General features: G+C 45.4%; 1 protein-coding gene and 3 pseudogenes across 27 annotated transcripts in view, besides 1 other annotated feature; 1 reads left to right on the top strand and 3 right to left on the bottom strand.

The window, feature by feature from the left end:
- The window catches only part of GREB1 (growth regulating estrogen receptor binding 1), a 159901-nt gene that overhangs the window by 76651 nt on the left and 60211 nt on the right, over positions 1-23039 (bottom strand). For 26 of the 27 annotated variants that reach the window (XM_047446466.1, XM_024453251.2, XM_047446468.1 and 23 more), the window contains exons 2-3: positions 9367-9684; positions 3556-3675 (exon numbers count right to left, since the gene is read on the bottom strand). In XM_047446466.1, coding sequence (XP_047302422.1) covers positions 3556-3675; positions 9367-9523 — 277 coding nt within the window. In that variant the 5' untranslated portion in view covers positions 9524-9684. The remainder of the gene's footprint in view (positions 1-3555; positions 3676-9366; positions 9685-23039) is intronic. The other variant, NM_033090.3, reaches the window with a different exon arrangement.
- RNA5SP85 (RNA, 5S ribosomal pseudogene 85) lies at positions 4359-4477 on the top strand (annotated as a pseudogene).
- Positions 4832-4944, bottom strand: RNU2-13P (RNA, U2 small nuclear 13, pseudogene; annotated as a pseudogene).
- Positions 6355-7073: an enhancer, noted in NCBI's record as "NANOG-H3K27ac-H3K4me1 hESC enhancer chr2:11699191-11699909 (GRCh37/hg19 assembly coordinates)". NCBI's record gives its function as "activates a minimal SCP1, AML or CMV promoter by ChIP-STARR-seq in primed H9 embryonic stem cells {active_cell/tissue: H9 hESC(primed)}" and the evidence as "EXISTENCE:reporter gene assay evidence [ECO:0000049][PMID:30033119]".
- Positions 14366-14437, bottom strand: TRG-CCC7-1 (tRNA-Gly (CCC) 7-1; annotated as a pseudogene).

Raw genomic sequence — 23039 nt, 5'->3', positions numbered from 1 at the left:
CTGGGGCAGGAGAATCATTTGAACCCGTAAGGCAGAGGTTGCAGTGAGCTGAGATTGTGCCCCTGCACTCCAGCCTAAGTGACAAAGTGAGACTCCATCTCATATATATATATATATAATCATAGTTATCCACGACACAGATCACACGTTATTTGTGTATCGGTGCCACCATGTGATGCACATTAATGTGCAAATGAAGCTCAACAGGAAGAAATTTTAAACACATGACGGCAAACGGAAACATAAACAAGATAAATCCACAAGAAACTGAGGGTCCTCTGATGTTTTTTACATGCTGCATTTTATGGGGATGAGAAAGAGGCCATCATGAAAAACGAAGGCTGAGAATCTGATAGCGTCAGTTTCCGCTAGGGGGTCATGGGGAGGACTGGCGGCCAGGACACAGGCACTGAGCCGGCCGAGAGCACAGGGATTCTCATTCCATGCCCTTCAGAACCTTTTGCGTGTTGGAGCTTGTAAATACATTTCCTATTCAAATAATACATTTCTACAAACATCTGGCAAGGGGAAAGGTAAAATAGAGAGCCAGCTGAGACTAATTTGGATAAGGCTTTTCCAGGGTCTTGTCCCAGGTAAGGGCACACCCAGCCCCATCTCCTGTGCTTCCTGTAGCTTTAGCTCCCGACTGAGACCTCTCTGGGAGTCCTGACGAGCCAAGGCCTTCCCAGCAGAGCTCTACAGGAGGTCATGAAGACTTTCCTCCTGAGTGCAGTGCTTCCCCACTCACCATGCATTTGCTCTGTGGTTTCCCATGTGCCCCTGGGCGGGGGCAGGAGAAAGCAACACCTGTGGGGGAGACGCTGGCAGGCATGGGGCCAGCACCACCACACACCAGGCACCAGTGAGGCAGGCTCTGCAAAGCTCTCATCTCATCACCTGCAGCAAAGTGTGGCTGTTCCCATTTTGAAGATAGGGAAACTGAGGCTCAGAGAGGCTGAGTGATTTGCTGCAAGCTACAGAGAGGTGGACCAGGAAGGGAGGCCAAGCTGACTCCCAGGTCTGGGGCATGATATGGTCTGGCTGTGCCCCCACCCACAGCTCATCTTAAACTGTAATTCCCACAATTCCCACATATTGTGGGAGGGATACGGTGGGAGGTAACTGAATCATGGGGGTGGGTCTTTCCCACGCTATTCTTGTGATAGTGAGTTTGTCTCATGAGATCTGATGGTTTTTAAAAGGGGAGTTTCCCCACACCAGCTCTCCTGTCTTGTCTGCTGCCATGTGATGTGCCTTTCACCTTCCACCATGATTGTCAGGCCTCCCCAGCCACGTGGAACTGTGGGTCTAGGAAACCAGTTTCTTTTGAAAATTGCCCAATCTTGGGTATGTCTTTATCAGCAGTGTGAAAATGGACTAATACAGGGCAGTTCCTTGCATTGGCTTGGGAAAGGGAGGTCAATTCCCTGAGGTCAAGGTCAATCCCCAGGGGGTCCCCTAACTCTCTGACCTAGGTCCCTCCCAGCCCAGTGTGGTCCATGCCTTCTGAAGAGCTGGAGGGATGTAGGCCATGAGTAGTCACAGTGTTTACTGTATTTATTTGGAAATTATGTGAAAATCTAATGACCAATGGAGAGTCTACCTCTTAACATTTATTTTTTTAAGAGATAGGGTCTTGCTATGTTGCCCAGGCTGGCCTCAAAGTCTGGGTTCAAGCAATCCTCCTGCCTCAGCCTCCCGGTAGCTGGGACTTGACTACTTGTGCCACCATGCCTGGCTGAAGAGTTCACCTCTTACCATTTAATTCAGTGGCCTTTTAAATATTTGGACACTATAAGTCCTACCTCACTAAGAGCCACCATATTGCCTTCCCCTTGCCTGGAAGAGCAGCCCATCGAGGGCCGAGTCCCTCCCCTCCCAGTCATCATGCTCAGGGTCAAGTCCAGTCCCCAAGGCAGAACACATGGGGCCTTCACACCACGTCTCATCACTCCTCCAAGCCTGGCTCTGCCACACCTCAGGCCCCTACGTAAATAATCTGCTAGTAGTTCCTCCAAATGAGCTGTAATTTCACCCACTAAGCCTTTGCACATGCTGTTCCCTCTGTCTGGAACTTCCCAGCTTCCTCCAACCCCTCCACAGTCTCCTGGCTGACTCGTACTAATCCTCCAAAACCCAAAGGGCCACCTCCTCCAGGAAGCCTTCCCAAAACTCTCTACCTGCGTTAGAGCCCCTCCTCTGCTCCATGCACCCCTGCTTGCTCCCAACTGTGTGCAAAGTATCCACTTTCCTGTATAGCTCCCATCAAACAGGGATCTCTCGTCCCATTTATCTCCATATTTCCAGAGCAAAGAGTTCAATAATTACTTCAATTACTGCTTAATTTAATAATACCCAGTTAGTTATCTTAAATAACTAAGGACTGAGCACAATGCCTGAACATAGTAGGCATTCCAGAAATATTTGTATAGGGGGTACCATAGTGTCATATGTAAACCATTTTACAAATAAGGAAGCAGAGGCTCAGAGAGATGCAGTGATTGGCCCGCAGCTATTCAACTATCTGCTAAGCAGCATGGCCTGCACGTTCCAGTTGTGTCTGATGCCCAAGCTGATGTTCTCGCCACTAACTGGCCTCCCCACTTGACTGACATGGTGTCAGACAGATGAACTCACTAGCAAAGAGGTCGTGTGGCTCATGGGTGGCAGAGTCAGGGGTGTACACCAAGCCTGAGTGCACAGCACAAGCTCTCAGCACAGGACTAAGCTGCCACCCATCCAGCATCTCCAGGCCTCTGTTCCTCAACAGTGAAACTGTACCATTACTGACTGTACAGGGTCCCTGAGATTATGTGTATCTGCCTGTTCAACATTGACGTACTGATGGGTATGAAAGATTATTCCAGCCAGGCCCAGGGGCTCACGCCTGTAATCCCAGCACTTTGGGAGGCTGAGGTGGGTGGATCACCTGAGGTCAGGAGTTCGAGACCAGCCTGGTCAACATGGTGAAACCCCATCTCTACTAAAAATACAAAAATTAGCCAGGCATGGTGGCATGTGCCTATAATCCCAGCTACTTGGGAGGCTGAGGCAGGAGAATTGCTTGAACCTGGGAGGCGGAGGTTGCAGTGATCTGAGATTGCACCACTGCACTCCAGCCTGGGCAACAGAGTGAGATTCCGTCAAAAAAAAAAAAGAAAGAAAGAAAGATTATTCCTCCTAATCACTTGTGAGTTCAATATGCTGTGCAAACAGGCCTGAGTAGGGAAAATGTATTCTAGGTTCCAAGCAACCAACACAGAAAAATGAATGTCTGGCTCCCAAGCCACTGGTAAAGTTGAGACTGTCCAAAGAGTGGCACAGAGGCCTGCCTTAGCATCCCAGGATGGTGTCTCTGGAGCTCCTGTTTCAGGAGGGCAGGCCGGGCCAGCACCTGCTGCGGGCCCAGGGGCATGGCTCACACCTCAGGGAAAGCAAAGAGGAAGAGCAAAGAGGACCCCTGCAGCACACAGTCACAGGCCCAGTCACCCGCCTGGCCACTGCCTCCGGGCAGCATGGCAGGCACTGCCTGGCCAGGAGCTGGCAGAGGCTCACCGTCTGTGGTACAGCATCCTTCAGGCAGAGGGTGCAGCTGGAAAGGGTTTGGGGGGCCATTTGTTTCCAGCCCTCCTTCTCCCTCTTCTTCCTCTTCCTCATTGTCCACTCGGCTACCACCTAGATGCGGGAAGAAGAGTGATGAGCAAGGCAGCTGCTGTCTGGCCTCAGAGCTTCCCCCAGGGCCTTTCCTCTGCCTGCATTCTCAGGCTCAACAAGCCCAGGACCTATGGGACTAATCCAGAATGGGTTCCACCCATCCTTAACAAGCACTCAGCACGTCTAGCTAGTTCGAAATTAACTTGTCCTTACAAACAGTCTGTCAGTCGGGTTTTATCAACCTTCTTTACTGGAGGGAAAAGCTGAGGCTTGCTCGGGTTGGATGACTCACCCAAGGTCACACGGCACACAGACCTGGGCCTCATGACTCCAAATTCAGGTTCATTTCTCTTCCATCTGTCACAGCTGCGCGTACACTAGAGGTTTAATATGTATCGAATTGGTTGATAAGGACTGAGCGCAATGCCTGGACATGGTAGCGTTCCAAAGATATTTGTGTAGATGGTACCATAGTGTCATATGAAGACCATTTTACAAAACAGGAAATGGAGGTTCAGAGAGATCCAGCAATTGGCCCACAGCTATTCAACTATGTGCTAGCAGCATGGCCCACACGTTCCCAGTCCTGTGTGATGCCCAAGCTGATGCTCTTGCCCCTAACCTGCACTGCTTCATTTGGGACACAAAATATAGGTAGTATGAACAGCTTTACACAATACAAGACAGCTGTCAAACGGCACATTGTCAATGGCCATACCACCCTGAACGCACCTGATCTCGTCTGATCTCAGAAGCTAAGCAGGGTCGGGCCTGGTTAACACTTGGATGGGAGACCACCTGGGAATACCAGGTGCTGTAGGCCAGGCACGGTGGCTCAAGCCTGTAATCCCAGCACTTTGGGACGCCGAGGCAGGTGGATCACCTGAGGTCAGGAGTTCGAGACCAGCCTGGCCAACATGATGAAACCCTGTCTCTACTGAAAATACAAAAAATTAGTTGGGCGTGGTAGTGTGTGCCTGTAATCCCAGCTACCCAGGAGGCTGAGGCAGGAGAATTGCTTGAACCTGGGAGGTGGAGGTTGCAGTGAGCCGAGATCACGCCACTGCACTCCAGCCTGGGCAACAAGAGAAAAACTCCGTCTCAAAAAAAAAAAAAAAAAAATATCCCCAAGGGAAGAATGCATGTAAACACTACTAGACACACAAACACACACACATACAAATAGCCATTCTATAACAGGGTCAGGTATGGTATGGATGTAGGAAGCTTTTTTTAAACTGATAAGAACAGATACTACACTTGGTCTTAGCCAAAAGGCCGAGAAGCAATGTAGGAAGCTTTTTATAAGTGAAATAATATTTCAGAAGGAATGGTCACTGTTGAACAGGTCAGGAGAGCCTAGGGGTGGCCATGGAAATCCTGCAACTCCCTGGACACACACTCTGTCACTACAGGGAAATGAAATTCTCTCAGCTCCGGCAGGCAGGATCTGTGCCCTCACTCATCCCTGTATTCTAGGCACCCCACAAGGAAGCTAATTATGACTGTGTGTTGGGCAGCCCAGTGGCTCTGGGTACACAGAATCGTACCTTATTCACTAAGCACTGCTGGAGAAGGCAGGATCTCAGGCTGTTGAAATTTAGTCCTGCCAACTTCTTGTAAGTTAGACATTTGGGGTAAAAATCTTTCTCAACTTCTCTATCTTTAAATGTCATTTAATAAATAGCATACAGAGTTCTTCAGGGAACAGGGTCATTATGAACATCCTTAAACACACTGGGCCAGGATACAGGCACTCTTCGCTTATTTCTTTTTTTTTTTGAGATGGAGTTTCTTTCTTGTCACCCACACTGGAGTAAAATGGTGCGATCTCAGCTCACTGCAATCTCCGCCTCCCGGGTTCAAGCGATTCTCCTGCCTCAGCCTCCCAAGTAGCTGGAATTACAGGCACCTACCATTACGCCCAACGAATTTTTGTATTTTTAGTAGAGATGGGGTTTCACCATGTTGGCCAGGCTGGTCTCAAACTCCTGATCTCAGGTGATCCACCCGCCTCGGCCTCCCAAAGTGCTGAGATTATAGGCACGAGCCACCATGCCCGGCCCGCTTCTTATTTCTTTGTCTTCTCCTCCAGTGTTGGTTTATTTGCTGTCAAGTCTCAAACTCTCACTTAACTTGGCTCTAACACCGTCCATCCATCCAGAGGGCTAAGCAACCTAGGTTAATGATGAAATCATGTGTAGTAGAAAGAGATTGGACTGGAAATCAGGGAGCTCAAGTTTCCATACTAGCCTGGGCCACTGCCTATGTGGACGCAGGAAAATTACTTAACCTCTCTGTGCATCTGATCCTGCATCTTTAAAATGAGGTGGTTAATCCAGACAAACCCTAAGGTCACCTGGAGTTCTGATGGTCTGTGTGGAAAAACGTGGCCCTCAGAGCTGCACGGGAGTTCCAGATGTGATTAAACGGTAGAGCATACTGGAAACATGGCCTCACAATGGCGACCATTTCAAACGGGCTTGTGGGACAAGAGGCAGAAGAAGCTGAACGTTTCCAGCAGGTGGGAAGCGTGACTTTGGGAAGGTCACAGCAGGAGGTGACTCAGGAACTCCTGATCTCTCAGATTTCCTGGGCTTAGAGGACACAGAGTGGTAGGAAAGGTGTGAAGAGATTACCCAGAGGTGGGGTGGGGAGGGAGACACACTCTTGAGCCTGCTTCAGATGCTTTCTTCCTGCCATTACATACAGCAGGCGTGGTTTTAGCAGAAGGTGTAAAGAGTCATGCCCAGACCCCAGGCGCCAGCAAGGCAGTACAGGTCTCCATGTCGGACACAGAAGACTCTGCAAAATCGACTCTGGTCTCTAAGCCAGCACCACAGAGGCTCAGAGGGGATGGCACAGATGCCAACTATCAGTGAAATAAGGGAGACACATCCCAGGAGAACTAAAACCAGCAGCCCCCAAGGCCCGCACCGTCGCAGCCAAGGGCACACCCGGGAATGCCTGCATGTGATTCTGCCAAGCTGCTAAGAACGGCAATTCAGACTCTCAGAAGGCATGAAAGAAAAGGGTCGTAAGCCTCAAAAGGTCAAAGAAAGAGCTCAAAATCCAGTCAGTAAGAAAGCAGGATTAAAAGTCAAAGGTCTACATCAGATATTCCAGGGGCTGTGATGGGAAGATCCGCCAGCAACAAGCTCGAGGGGACATTCCTGCCCGGGAGCAGACTAAACCAGCCGTGTTTACCCAGGTCTCCTGGCAGGACGAGAGCTCTAAAATGGCTTTAGACAAAACCAACTGGATTGGGAGCTTAGAATCCTAATAACAAAACACAGGAACTCAGGGGCCTGGAGCGCCGCTTCCCTCCATTCCGTACAAGGCTACTGCTTTTAATGTTGACATGCAATTGTGTTTTCTTTCCATGAGCAGAAACTCTATGGCATTCTAAGTGGGTGGGACTACAGGATTTTACCTACATCCTGTTTAATGAATAAATACTTATCCCAAAATGCTGGACAGTGTCTGTTTTGTTGATCTCTCTTTTTTTAAAAAAATCAAGAATGTGTAAGGGTTTTTCCCCTAAAGGAGGTGGTAGGTTAACAGCCCTAATTCAAAGAACAAAGTAATAAGACTCCTGTTAAATCCCCCTCACAAATACATAAAATGTTAACAGATCAAGGGGTGTTCAGTATACCAGCACCCTGGTCATAAAAACCATCTTTAATGTCATTGTCTGAAGAAGGCCAGCAATGAGATAAGAAACCCCGACAAACAGACACTACGAGATGTGGCCTGGATAAGCCTGTCTGCACCAGGTTTGACTATGCAGAAAGCAGGGCCTCTAGCTGAGTGCTTGGTTTAGGGTAACATTTAGCAAACCAAAAAGAGTCTGTCTCTTCCCACCAGCCCCATCAGCCCCCTTGTTTTCCTGCACTAGAAAACCAAACTCTCAGAGGACTTCTCTCTTCTGTTTGTCGGACAAATGGGAAAATCATAGGGCTTGTTCCAGTTTTCATACCAACGTGGAGCTGGACAAGCCGGCTGACAGCTGGCAGGGAACCTTCAACCGCAGCACCGGAGGAATGAAGGCTTAAGCCTCAGCGCTGTCCCTGGACAGTGCCACATGTCCAACAGCAGATAAGGGCACCCTGAGCTGTCGGAATGTCAGACACAGCCTCCCAGTTAAAGGTGGGCAGAAAGCAACTATCAAGATCTTTCAACAGGAGGGAAAGCTAATTTGGAATCCTCAAAGGGCTTTCTACTCCTCTCTCCCGCTGTGGGCAGCCCTGAGTCTACTCAAGCCCTTGTCTGTCCCCTTTTTATCTCAGAGCTTGGCCAAAGCTGAGTATGCAACTGCTGCTCAGTCACTCAAGCTTCCAGCAAGCCACCCTTCCATCTTCCCAAATCACAGAATTCAATTACTTCAGCTTGTGAGGTGAAAGCACTTTGTGGATTTTAAGGTATCATTCAAATAAACATTACCATCAATATCACTATTATTAATCCATAATTAGCCACAAAGCTCTTCAATACTATAGATGTAGAGGATGACCAGGTAATTCATATTCCACCAAAGTCTTTCAACTGGCCAAAAACAGTCCATAAAATACTTTCCAGCCATTTCTCGGCTCCCCATAAAATCACAGTGACGTCTCCCATGCCAGAAAACATCAGTGCTTTTGATGTGAATGCCAGCGAATTCTTGGTTTTCCTAATGCATGGTTTTGACCACAGTCTAGTTTCTCTCAGACCCACATCCAGTTCTTCCAGGGGTTTAGAAGGGCCATTTGCAAGGTTAATTTAGTAAGGATGTTTTAAACAATGACACAGAAATGCCTCCTGCTAGAATAAGCAACTATCAGATCTCACACAAGCTCAGTGTGGGGCCCCTTGAAGACAAGCACCTCCACACCTCGTTCTTCTCTAGGTGCAATTCTCTCCAACCCAACCATCCCCTTCCACATACACACTCACGCACAGCAAGACCACCCCAGCACAAGACCTGGCTCACTCAGTGCTTTCTTCGTTAATTCTAGTTTATTAATTTTTGTTTTAAAGTATAGCCCCTTTTCACTTCAATAACTAAGAGAAGTCTGCGGGTAACTTCAAGTCAAAGACATCAACTTACAAAAAGAACTTCCATAACAGAGCTATCTCATACTATGGATCACTGAGGGGTTACTTCTGAAATGAAAACACACAGCTATAAAAAACAATCATTTCAATCTCTGCATAATTAAATAAACTCTAAAAAGTCATCCCTATGCCCGAAGAGAATTTAGTTGTTTATTCTTGGCATATATTAAATTTATAATGTTTGCTTTTGGTTTTTAAAAGTTTCTGAGAGTTCTCATACCTACTATTACTTTGCAAAGATATAGCCACAAATCACAGGACAAAGAAAAGGAATATATTGCTGAGGGTCAAAAGCATGTTAAAATTCCTTGCTTTTCCAAGTGAAAATGTCAAACCTTCTAATAAGAGCATAAGTAACAACCGATTGAGAACAATTTGTCCTCTTCCTTTCTCCTACTGATTCAATGAATAATTTTACTTCTTGCAATTTTATGGCTGAAACTTATTTACATTTTAGCCAAAGTAAGAACTTGTACCCAGTTTTCTTTTTCTAATAATTCTTTTCTGCTAGATTCAACGTTATCTACATAAAGAAAAGAGTTTCAAGTTCTGGTGCTAACATTAACTGCGCACAATAAAAGAAATACACAGATAAAAGCAACGTGCGTCTCCCACCTTCTAGAGCGGCAAGCTGCTGCTCAGCTTCCAGGTACAGCTGGGAAAAGATGGGCCTGGGCACCAGGTTGTTGGACCGCAGGGATGCCTCGATGGAATTGTGCAAGACCTCTTCAAAGCGTGTCGTCTTCAGCTGTCCAGCGTAAGAATTTCCCATCTTCAAGAGGATGGAGTCTTCTGTTTAAAATGGCATCTCAGATTCGGTGCAAAAGCCTGGCTCCACGCAAGGTAGAAGGTGAAACAGCTGCAAGGAGGAAGGGCCGTGTAGCCTTCGCTCAGCAGAGACGAAGAAAGGGTGGCTGTCCTCAGCTGCAGCTACTGCCGGGCAATTACAGGAAGTTATATAAGTAACAGCTTTCTCTAATTTAGCACTCAGCAGAGCCTGACACCTCTTAGACTGTTTCACTAGGAGCTGCCTCTTTTGCCATCCCCAGGTTTCACAGGACTCCCACTTTTCCCAGAGATGTGGTCCTGCCCCTGAGAGTTCCCAGACGAATGACGTTTCATTTTCCATGACCTGCAGACGAATGGCCCTCCAACACTCTTGTAAGTGACGGCAAATGAGCGATCCACCAAAACCAGTCCCAGATTTGAGGATTAGAGGAGCCGGCCTCCCCCACCTTCCCAGAAGATAGGCTAGCAGGTCTCCCACCATTGTCTTTGCTGGTAAAAGGCTGATTATTCTCATTCTTCCTTTAAAATGTTTTTTAATCTACTAAATGTTTCCATGATTCAAGTAATACAGAATTATATCTGGAAAACCTGGAAATCACAGAGGAGTGGGAAAACGAGGAAAATCACTGACATTTCTATCCCCCAAGAGATTTATTTTCTATCCCCCCAAAAATCACAGAGAACCACTGTGACTTTTTTTCTGTAGCAACTTAATTGAGATATAATTCACATACCTTACCACTTAAAGTAGACAACTCAATGGTTTTTCGTATATTCACAGTGTCGTGTAACTATCATACGATCAATTTTAGAATGCTTTCATCACCCCAAGAGGAAACCCCAGACCTATCACTCTGCAACCCTCCAACCCCTCCAGCTGGAGGCAACAATTAATTTATTTTCTGTCTCTATAGATTTGCTCATTCTGGATACTTTGTATAAATGGAATCATTCAGTACGAGGTCTTTTGTGACTGGCTTCTATCTAACGTTAGCACAATGTCTCCAAGATTCATCTGTTTAGCATGAATCAATACTTCATTCCCACTCACGTATTTTGATGTATTGTTTTAGACTTAATTCTCTTCAGAACTTGCAGATGGGAAGGGATGGGAGATTGTATTCACATAATTATAATCATACTATAATACACATTTTTATTGTTTTTGTTTTTCCTTGACATAAGCATTTCGCTCAACCCTCTTGCAAATGTTTTTAGAACAATTTTAATGGCTGCTTCCATTGAGTGAAAATGCTGATATTTGTTCTGACATTTCTCCCTGATCATACATAGGGTTAAATTTCTATTTTCAGTCCTTCCCAAGAACAGGCATTTAAATGTGTATATGTCCATAATGTTTTCCATTTATTTTCTATTTCATTACATTTAGCTATTTGTTATATTTCTCTTTATTTCCCTTTGGTTTAACTTGTACTTTTTCCAAACTTTTCAAAATAGTTACTTTATTGTCATCTTTAGTTTTCATCTTCATTAACAACGAAGACATTTAAGGCTATACGTTATTCTCTGGGCACCTCCTTTGCTATGGTACAAGGTTTAGTATGAAGTGTTCTCCTTTTCATTTCTTTCTAGACAGTTTATCATTTCCCTCTGATTCCCTCTTTGATCCGTTAATTATACAGGAGTGTGTGTTTAATTTTTAAACAGTCAAGACAGCAATGGGGGGTGACTTCAGCTTCATATTATTTATTTCCAGTTTTTAATAGATTATAATCAAGACTGTGGTCTTTAGAAACTCTACTTTTGAAACTTGTTAAGGGTTTCTTTTTGACATATACCTGCTGGAGTTTTACAGATATGAGAAAAGACATTCGTAAACTCTACAAGGGATGAAAGGAAATCAATCAGATTATTCAACTGTTCTATATCCTTGTATGTCTCTTGTCTACTAGCCTGTTCATCTTTAAAGTAACATTTGACATACAAAATGGCACCAGATGCCTGCACTGAAATGACCACAGAATAGCAGTTTCCTGCCTTCATCTACAATTACTGCACACAGACCAGTTATGAAACTGGCTTCATCGGTCAAGCGAGATCTCCCATTCACTCTAACTCAAGCCATGTGTAATAAATTCCCCTCGTCCTTGTTCTGTTGGTGGCAGAGTAGCTTCAAGATGTCATCCTTCATGCCCTGAAAGAGTTCTGCTTTCCCTCCCGAAGGTATAATAACTGGTAGAGTCACGTTGATTTCCCGCCCCTATTGTAAGAAAGATTCAGCCTTTCCTCTTCCAACTAAAAGTAAATGGAAGGCATTAACCACTTCCTGCTTGTGGCAATAACTTCTGACCACAGGGCCCCTTGGTCAGCCTCTGCTTATAGCCTGGGGAAATGAGCTGTGGGAAGATTGCTTCAGGAATTAGCCCCAACAAAAAGAAAGTGCTCCTGAAAGAGAGAGGTCAGCAGCCGGAGTAACCTAACAGGAGAGCAGAAGAGGTTGCAGGGTCCTCTTGTCTGCCTTTTTTCTCGATCTGTGGCAGACTTTAATATGTGACTGAGGGGTTGCCAGCCACATTTGGGGACACCTGCATTATTCTCAACTCAGGGTGGTGTGTTTAAAGCTGCCACCAACGAATAACATCCCAAATGCCCTCTGTTTCCATAGCATCTTTGTCTATAGAGCTTAAGGCACACAGGAAGAAGCTTTAAGGTGGACTCGTTTTACATGGAGCCCCTGAAGAATCATGTCCTCTGACAGAAAGAACACATCGGGGCATCCAGACCCTCCCTGCCCAAGGTCCTGTTCAGCTGACCTCACAGCTGATTGGCACCCAGGAGACTCCAGCAGCGAAGGGACATGTAGGCCTGATGTAGACGGGGCAATAAAAATGAAGAAGGAAAAATAATATCCACTGTCCAGCCACTGCGTGCAAGACACTGGGCACACTCCCTACTTCACACACATGGTAGCCCATGGAAGAGGTATGATGAAGCCCATTTTATAAATGATACATTTGAATCTAGAGATACATAGCCGGCAGAAACGCTTGCTGAAAAAAAAAAAATAGAATGGGGGAAAGATGGAGAAAGAGACAGAGAAGCTAAAAACAAGACAGCATAGAAAAGTGGGGTTTTTTGTTTGTTTGTTTTTTGAGACAGGATCTCACTTTGTTGCCCAGGCTGGAGTGAGTGCAGTGGCATGATCTCGATTCTGCAACCTCTGATCCTCCCACCTCAGCCTCCCCAAGTGGCTGGCACTACAGGAACATACCACCATGCCAAGCTAATTTTCACATTCTTTGTAGAGACGGGGTTTCACCATGTTGCCCAGGCTGGTCTCGAACTCCTGGGCTCAAGAGAGCTCCCAAAGTGCTGAGACCACAGGCATGAGCCACCATGCCCGCCCAGTAAAGTTTTCATACTCACAAAATTAAAACTTTATTTTATAGCCCTAAACAAACATCAAAGTTTTAATGTCTGTAAGCAAATAGTGAAAGAAAAAATAAATACCACTCCCTATCCCAAATGACGCATTTGACATCAGAACAATAAGTACATACCACTAAAGAAGAATGAGGAGGCATTGCAACAGTATTCAAATCTGCGGCTCTTTTTTTTTTTTTTTTTGAGACGGAGTTTCGCTCTGTCGCCCAGGCTGGAGTGCAGTGGCGCGATCTCGACTCACTGCAAGCTCCGCCTCCCGGGTTCACGCCATTCTCCTGCCTCAGCCTCCCGTGTAGCTGGGACTACAGGCGTGCGCCACCATGCCCGGCTAATTTTTGTATTTTTAGTAGAGACGGGGTTTCACCGTGTTAGCCAGGATGGTCTCGATCTCCTGACCTCGTGATCCGCCCGCCTCGGCCTCCCAAAGTGCTGGGATTACAGGCGTGAGCCACCGCGCCCGGCCAACTGCGGCTCTTTTTGTTATTCCATTGTGGCCACAACCAAACAGTGTGGGGACTTTCTAGATACCATGGCAGTGCTCTATCTTACAGACAGACCCTGACTGCAAAGCCACACCTGCTGGGTGAGGAAGGTTTGGGCCAGACCGGTCCTGCCGCGGAGGTACATCTGGAGCTCTCTGACCCACTGGAATCCGTCATTTGACCAGTGGAGAACTAAAGACCCAGACAGGGAAGAGCCTAGTTCAAGGTCACACACTAAAGCTTCAATCCTCCCAAATGCCGCATGGAGTGGAGACAACACCTATCAAAGGCCTCCTTGGGATGGTCCTTCTTTCCCTGGGCTGGCCCTGACCACTCGTTCTCTGTCCGTGGTCTCTTTGCTAGATCCCTGCTGCAGTTATTCAACTCTGCAGACTGCCTGTGGGATTTCTTCCACGCCCTAACACATCACATCCAACGCCTGCATTCCAAGGCCTGGACCAGCTTCTCTCCAGGCTGGTGTGTGATGCTCTTCAACTACAGAATCTGAAGCAGTGCCCATCAGGGCAGTGATGATGGCCGAACAACAGCCTTCACCTTAATGCACAAAAGCCTGGCTGTACTAGTCTGTAAACAGCATGCGCAACCCCACGCAAAGTGATTTAATCACTGGGCCTTGGTGTTCTCAACTGTAAAATGGGCACTTAGAAAAACTGATTGCTCGTTACGGACAGTAAGAGAGACGGAGTATAGTCAGTGCGTAATCATTAATTTCTAGTTAAATCTGAGCATTCACAGGAAAAGAATTTCAGATTATAAATGACAAGTGACAAAAAAGCACTATTGTCCATAAGTGCTACAACTTAAAAGAGGGGAGAAATCAGTGAGAACTTGGTTTACAATGGGGCTGGTACTGGAAGCAGGCCAGGAGGGCTGAGTAGGATATTTTTGGCCACGGCTCGTCCTGCTCCACTTCTTGGTTCCATGACCGGGAATCGAACCCGGGCTGCGGCGGTGGGAGCGCTGAATCCTAACCACTAGACCACTGAGTAGGATGTCTTTGGAAAAAAAACTAAGAACAGCATTTGAGGAAGGGACAGGAGAGTGCAAAGGCACGAAAACTCCAAGGGAACAGACATACTCTAGAAAAAGAAGTAAGTTCATTTGCCTAAGAGTAAATGGTTTACAAGATGACACAGTGATAGAATAACAAAAACAAACCCAAGGGTGAAAATCAGACATTGTATAGGCGACAGACACTCCCTGGACCCGCAGAGCTAGAGACCGATGATAGTAAAGATAATGCCAGTCAATCAGACAGAAATGATTAGGATAAAACTGGAGGGAAGACCTGCAGGCAGGAGGCCGGGCAGACACTCTTTCAATAGGACCTTTGATATCTGCTTATCTTTAAGAGTGAGGCACAAAAAGTTGCTTGGAAACTCTCTACGTGGAGATTCAACTGGTTGCCTGGTGGGCTTCATGGGAGGTGATCAGATGTGGGTTTGTTTCACCATATCAACCTCAAACATAGCTCCATGTCAGCTCAAATCACAGCACCAGTACCTAACTTCCACTGGCCCTTCTGATCCCAGAAGCACCATGGGCTTGACCAGATGAAGCCAACTGACCCAGGTCAGTTTGAAGTGGCAACAGTGAGCTAGCTCAACATGCTCTAGGTGGCTGGGACATTGACCTGAGCTATTCTCTTCCCATGGTACCAGTAAATCTGTGTCCTTTAGAGGACTCGGGTAGAATGAGAATTTTTAGGTTGAGTTGAAGTTCAACTAGAATAAGTGCAGGGCAGAAGCTTCAAGGAAGATAAGGAACTATTAAAGGCGGGGACAAAGAAAGGAGAGGAGGCTTCTGGTGAAATGGGACAGATGGAGAACATGCATTGTCTCTAGTCCCTTCAAAACCTCACTAGAAGGACAGTGAAGGAATGTGCAGGTATAAGGACCCAAAGACAAAGAGACAGGAGAGAAAATCACGGCAGACAAGATATGCCAACAAAAGTTAGCATTTTCAAAGCAGACGAGAAGTAGGGCTAGATTTGGAAAGTGTCCTTTCCAAGCCCAGTCCTGAACTGGGTGAGGCCTCCTGAGGAGCAAACTGATTCAAATGCACAGAACCCAGAGAAGGCTTGGGAATTCCAGGCAACAAGGTGAAAAGTAGGGCTGAAGAGTGGGAGGACTCCCTCTCCCTTCCCGAGCAGCCCTTTCCCCTTCTCTGCAGAAGTCTGGAAGTTTACTCAGGACAAATTAAACCAAAGAGAATCTGGACTCTTGGACATAGCTGGCAACAGATATGAGATGCAAGGGTGAAAACAGGGAAATTGACTCAAATGACGCAATGTCCCTTCTCTCATTCCTTTTCTCCCATTTGGCTCCCCTAAAATGCAATCATGCTTAAGGATGGACAGATATTGAAAATTGGGGGTACTCAGTATAACAGATCCATATCCAATCACCTTCTGTGAGGCCCAGCAGTCAACCAGCAGCTTTCTTTTATTATTTATTTATTATTATTATTTTTGAGACAGAGTTTCGCTCTTGTTTCCCAGACTGGAGTGCAATGGCACAATCTCGCTCACTGCAACCTTCGCCTCTCAGGTTCAAGCGATTCTCCTGCCTCAGCCTCCGAGTAGCTGGGATTACAGGCGCCCGCCACCTCACCTGGCTAATTTTTGTACTTTTAGCAGAAATGGGGTTGCATTATGTTGTCCAGGCTGGTCTTGAATCTCCTGACTCAGGTGATCCACCTGCCTCAGCCTCCCAAAGTGCTGGGATTACAGGCATAAGCCACCACAGCTGGCCAATCAGCAACTTTCTATGCTTGACTTAAAAATAAGCAGACATCCAAAGATCATCAGCATCACAAGGCTTTTGAGAAAATCCTTAAACATAAAAGGTAGACACTAAAAGAAACAAAGAGACAAAAGAGAGCAAACAAAAACCACAAAGGAAACACATCTGCCACAGTTAATATCTTCAGAGGGATGATGTATCCACAAAACAAGAACAGAATGCTATAAAAAGTAAACATGGAGAAAACGAGAAGGAATTCTTAAAAACTGTTTAAACAATAACAGAAATTTAAACTTTACTAGAAGGGCTACAAGGCAAAGTTGAAGATCAAGATACAAAGAATGGAAAAGAGAAGAAAATTGAAATGATTTTGTTATTGCATAACAGGACAACTATAGCATTAAGCTGAAGTTTTTTCAGTAGTTTTCAATGTCATTTTCCTACCATATTATTTCCAAAATGAGACAAAAATAGCTACTCTTGGCCACACTGAAGGCTATTCTGAAACATTTCATTAATGTGGCTCCTATTTATACATTTAACCATTCTCTTTTTTTTCGTCTTAAAGTAGGACAACTGAGACGTTACCGAGGAAAGGACTTATCAGACACCGAATACCCACAAAGAGAAAACATTTTAATGTTTCCTTTTAATGTGTTTATTCTATTAGAAAATAAACTCTTTGGGGGTTCATGGGGGAAAAAAAGACAACTGGAAGATCAATCCATGAGGCCCAGAAGGAGTTCTAGAAGAATAAATAAAGAAAAAGGAGAAAATGAGATTCCCAAAGAATATTTTTCAGAGCTGAAAAACATAGATTTCCAGATTTAAAGGACCAATCAAGAGCCCAGCACAACAAATGAAAAGGATACACATGGAGGCACATCCATGAAATTTTAGAACCCTGGAGATAAACAGGTAAAGAAACAACAGGTCACATTCAAGGGCTTAAAATAATCAGGATGACTTTGGATTTCTCAACAGCAATAGTGGACATTGGAAATAATGAAATAATGCCCGGAAAATTTTAAGGGAAAATTTTCCCTACCTAGAATACTCAACAAAAATAATAATCAAAGTGAGAGTAGAGTAAAACCATTTTCTGAAATGCAAAATCTCAAAGCAATTTATCTCCCAAGTTCACTTTCTCAAGAAACTACTGGGGAGTGGTGTAAATTAACAATTGTGAAGCCAGGGGGCCAGGATGGGGGATCCAACAGAGGGTAGAAGGAGAGGGGACTCACAAGGTGATGATGAGAACAGCTAAATGATCCACACTGGAGCAGGGACAGAAGGCTCCAGGAAGGAGGCCTCCAAGAAGAAAACAGGGCAACAGATTTAATTATCTGATGTGTTCAATAATATTGAAAGGAGTTTACAAGTTCTATCAGAATATGGGGATGTATTATTGACAGGTGCAGGAAGAATAAGATGTACAATGCCTGAAATTTTAGTTACTCACACTGTAAGTCTATGGTGAGTGCTGATTCAAACAAAGTTTTGATATAACTATTTTGGAAGAATGAGAAAAGGGAAAGGCATGTGTATGTGTATGTATGTGGGTGTGTGTATGTGTGTGCATCTGTGTTGGGGTATATGCATGTGTGCACGTGTCTGGGTGTGTGCGTGTGTGTGCATATGTGGGTATGTGCACGTGTGTGCATGTGTCTGGCTGTACATGTGTGTGCACATATGTTTGGGTATGTGCACATGTGTGCACATGTCTGGCTGTGTGCATGTGAGAATGTGTGGTGGGTTTTTTTTTTTTTGGAGACAGGGTCTTGCTCTGTTGCCCAGCTGTAGTGCAGTGGTGCAGTCACAGCTCACTGTAGCCTCAACTCCTGGGCTCAAGTAATCCTCCCACCTCAGCCTCCTGAGTAGCTAGGACTATAGGAACATGCCACCATGCCCAGATAGCTTTTTTTGGTAAGGACAGAGGTCTTGCTAGGTTGCCCAGGCTGGTCTCAAACTCCTCGGCTCAAGAAATTCTACCGCCTCGGCCTCCCAAAGCACTTGGATTACAGGAGTGAGCCACTGCACCCAGCTAACAGTGTGTTCTTGGGGTAGAAGGAAAGAGCTATAAGAAAGCTAAATTCTCATATTCTACAGTAAGAATGAAAAGATGGCCTAGACACAAACAATAAATTGCAACACCAGTTGTTATTTGGAAATAAAGAGGTAATTCCAGAGAAGAAGAAAAAAAGGAAAGAATTTAAAAATGGTTTTAAATTTCGTCAATTTAAAAATGGTTGTCTCTAGGAAGCAGGAATTGGGATAGAAATAGGTTTTTCATTTTCATTTTTCATTTTAAAGCTTATAATTTAACTTTTAGACTGTGTGTATATTTATAATTTTTGAAAAACGATGATTACATTTTAAAAATAAATGAAAGGCAGGGAAGAATAGAATGACAGGCATTATAAGGAATCTCAGTAGAAGAGAAGCTGAAGATCATGGTAGACTGCAGACCAATATTAAAGGAAGGACACGTGTGAAGAATTATCTAATTTCATCCTGCCAACAACCCTGTCTTCTAGATATTTCTCTCCCTACTTTTATCCCATATGAAGAAACTAAGAAAATAAGGCTTGGAAAGGTTGGACCTGTCTGAAGACACACAGCTAGTGCCTGGTCTGGAATTAAAAGCCGATCTCCAAAGAATCTCTTCCATGAAAAGTAGTGTTAAGAAATTTAAACTAGCACAGCCGAGCACGGTGGCTCATGCCTGTAATCCCAGCACTTTGGGAGGCCGAGGCAGGCGGATCACTTGAGGTCAGGAGTTCGACATCGCCCTGGCCAACATGGTGAAACCCCATCTGTACTAAAAATACAAAACATAGCTGGGCGTGGTGGCACACCTGTAATCCCAGCTACTCGGGAGGCCGAGGCAGGAGAATCACTTGAGCCCAGGAGGCAGAGATTGCGTGAGCCGAGATTGCGCCATTGCAATCCAGCCTGGGCAACAGGGTGAGAAGCCATCTCAAAAAAAAAAAAAAAAAAAAGTTTAAACTAGCAGAATGTAAAATTCTCAGACATCCTCACTTTCAGAGTTATAAATCTGTATTATCATTACTTTCTGGTGCCATTTCTAGTAGTGACAAGACACTTCCTGATTTTATAGAAAGTTAAGGCATTCCTCTAAAGTTCTAAAGGACAGCACTAGAGACTTGGCCTAAGGAGACTAAGCCTGCATTCACACAAAAAGCGAGATGCGCTCCTGAGCAGAGCAGGGTTTTCATCATGCTGGGAGCCAAGAAAGTCCTGCAATTATTTCAAGAACAGGTTCTACCTATTCTCCCAGAACCACTTGAGAAAGTTTGTAAAGTCCCTATTACAGAGCTTGTATGTTACAACATTGTATTCCAAGTGAGCACATAAAAAATACCAAAACTTCAGTTTATAGCTCATCTACCTATTCACTTCAAGTATGTATGTATATATTTTATAAGGCAAATAATATATACTGTGGTCCATGCATGCATAAACCACATATAAGCATATAAAAACATGTGGTCCATGTTCTTATAAATCAGTAAGGACATATGTTGTATACATATATATGTGTGTATTTATTTACTGAAAGAGAGTATGAATGGAATAAGAAAACCAATATTTCTTTCCTGTATACTATGTGCCAGGAAATTTTCTTCCAACAGCTCAATGACAAAAGTATTATTGTCTTGGTTTTGCAGATGAAGGGAGGGGGCGTGGGAAGTAAAAGCATTCTTTGTCTTCACATCTTTGTTATTTTTTTTTATTTTTATTTTTTGAGACGGAATCTCGCTCTGTCACCCAGGCTTGAGTTCAGTGGCACGATCTCAGCTCACCGCAACCTCCACCTCCTGGGTTCAAACGATTCTCCTCCCTCAGCCTCCCGAGTAGCTGGGACTACAGACGTGCACCACTATGCCCGGCTAATTTTGTATTTTTAGTAGAGATGGGGTTTCTCCATGTTGGTCAGGCTGGTCTTGAACTCCCGACCTCAAGTGATCCACCCGCCTCAGCCTCCCAAAGTGCTGGGATTACGGGCGTGAGCCACCGCGCCCGGCTATCTTTGTTATTTTCTTTAGCGACACAAACCCCAAACATTTTAAGTATAATCAACAGCTGCTATCTGTCAGGATCACTCTGTGCAGAGATTTTTCTTGCTTTCCATTTGTAACCTTACTTCATCTTCATCACAGTCCTAAAACTTAGGTAACGTGGTTCTCATTTTACACATTAGGAAATTGAGGCTGGGTGACATTCAAGTGACTTGTCCAAGGTCACACATTTGGAACAATTTTAGAATGTCCAATGATGGCCCTCAGTATGCTTTACTGAAAGCAAAGATTCATTGGAAAGATTAATCCCTTTTCCTTCAGAAAAGGATGCATTTTTTTTAAGTTGCTTTTTAAAAATGGTGTTCACTTGTCCAGCCATGCTCCAAACTTTGGGTTAGGAAAAGGATTGCCTTGGGTTCTTTTGTCATGGTGCTTTGCCAAAAGGGGAGCTGCCATAGAAAGTTGCTGATTGGCCGGGTGCAGTGGCTCATGCCTGTAGTCCCAGCACTTTGGGAGGCTGAGGCAGGTGGATCACCTGAGTCAGGAGATTCGAGACCAGCCTGGCCAACATGATGCAACCCGTCTCTGCTAAAATACAAAAATCAGCCAGGTGAGGTGGCGGGTGCCTGTAATCCTAGCTACTCGGAGGCTGAGGCAGGAGAATCGCTTGAACCTGGGAGGCGAAGGTTGCAGTGAGCGAGATCGTGCCATTGCCCTCCAGCCCGGGACACATTTTTTAGCCTCATCTAAAAAGACACATTTCTAGCCAGACAAAGAAAACCGAGAGCAGGCCGGGCCGGTGGCTCACACCTGTAATCCCAACACTTTGTGAGGCCGAGGCGAGTGGATCACCTGTGGTCAGGAGTTCGAGACCAGCCTGGCCAACATGGTGAAACCCTGTCTCTACCAAAAATACTAAAGTTAGCTGGGCATGGTGGCAGGCGCCTGTAATCCTCACTACTCGGGAGGCTGAGGCACAAGAATCGTTTGACCCCGGGAGGCAGAGGTTGCAGTGAGCTGAGAACGCACTACTGCACTCCAGCCTGGGTGACAGAGTGAGACTTTGTCTCAATTAAAAAAACACAAACAAACCCAAGAGCATTCTAAGAATGTGGCCTGCAGACCCATCTCCTGCGTGGAGGTGAGCAGGCAAACAGGGGGGCAGGACAGACAGGCGGCCAGCGTTGGCTCCTCCACCTGCACCCTCAGCACCATGGGCCCTTCCCTGGGGATGAGAGCAGGAGCCTTCTGGCTCCAGCCCATTCCAAGGAAAACATTCTTGCCCTGGCCTCTCCTTAGAGCGACCCCTCCCCTCCTCTTCCCTCCTTAGAATAGAACAGCCAAAAGTTTGCCCACAGGTGAAAAATGGATTTCTCTTAAAAGGCTCGGCCGGGCGCAGTGGCTCACGGCTGTAATCCCAGCACTTTGGGAGGCCGAGGTGGGCAGATCACAAAGTCAGGAGATCGAGACCATCCTGGCTAGCACGGTGAAACCCTGCCTCTACAAAAAATACAAAAAATTAGCCAGGCATGGTGGTGGGAGCCTGTAGTCCCAGCTACTCGGTATACTGAGGCAGGAGAATGGCGTGAACCTGGGAGGCGGAGCTTGCAGTGACCCGAGATCACACCACCGCACTCCAGCCTGGGCAACTTGAGCAAGACTTCATCTCAAAATAAACAAACAAACAAATAAATAAAAGGCTCTCAGACTAGAGGGGTTAAGCATCCAACTAAAATCGGGGTCTGAATGATTTTCCTACTCCTCTCTGAGGTCCCTTCACTCCACCTGTTACCAATCATGCAATGAGGCACCTCTGTCTAAATGAAGCCTCCATCTGTCAACAACAGCGCTGAGTCCCAGAATGGGCTGGAACTCACTTCCTAAGATAACACTTGGCTCTGGGTGCTCCTGGGTGCTGTACACTCATCATTTTGCTCAGAAAAATAAAGCCACAGCTTCCGTGTACTGCCTACCCTTCAGACCCAACTCCTCCCCACTCCCCGGTCCATTCACAGACGGGCGTCAATACCCATTTCTTCACACCACCCAGCAGCACACATCAGGGGTTCAACACCCCTGCACACGAACATGGACACCGAGGCCCACGAGGTGCTGAGAACACAGCGCTCTGGGGTTCCCAGTTGCAACATCCAGCTAGATCAAAACCAGCAGGACTCATAGAGAAGGTCTTACAGGTCTCTTCAAGTTATGAGATAATAAACTCATTATCATTGAACTTCACCAATGTCAAAAAAATTCTCAAACTTGGGCTTTGCAAAGTGTTCATAATCTGTCTGCTATAGTGGTAAAAGCATTCACTTTTCAATAAGACCACCAGGGGCTTGATTCATGGTTATGCTGCTTTCAAGCTGTGTGACCTTGGGCAAGTTACCTAACTTCTCTGAACCTCCATTTCCTCTTTTATAAAATGGAGATACTAAGAACCACCTTACACGGCTGTAGTGAGGACTAAATTAACATGCAGGGCAGTTGGCATAAAATAGATGTTAATAAGTTCCAGTTTCCTCTCTAAAATTGGAATTAACTGCCCATAATTCTAATTTCTAGATGTTAACTAAAGACTTAATTTTAAGTCTTAAGCTTGCCTTAATTTTATTCACTATCACAGAGTAGTTTATCCAATGGAATTAATTAAACTTCTGGCTTCCTTAGGAGTACACCTATTGAAACGTGCCTCTCTGAGCAGATAATATATCATTTAGTCTCTTATCCCCCCTTCTGCCAGCTTCCCAACTAAACTTGAAGGGCTTTGACAGCAGGGACTATTCCAGTCACCTCTTTAC

This window comes from Homo sapiens, chromosome 2, assembly GCF_000001405.40.
Source record: "Homo sapiens chromosome 2, GRCh38.p14 Primary Assembly".
Lineage (NCBI taxonomy): Eukaryota > Metazoa > Chordata > Mammalia > Primates > Hominidae > Homo > Homo sapiens.
This window is presented reverse-complemented; position numbering and strand designations above follow the sequence as displayed.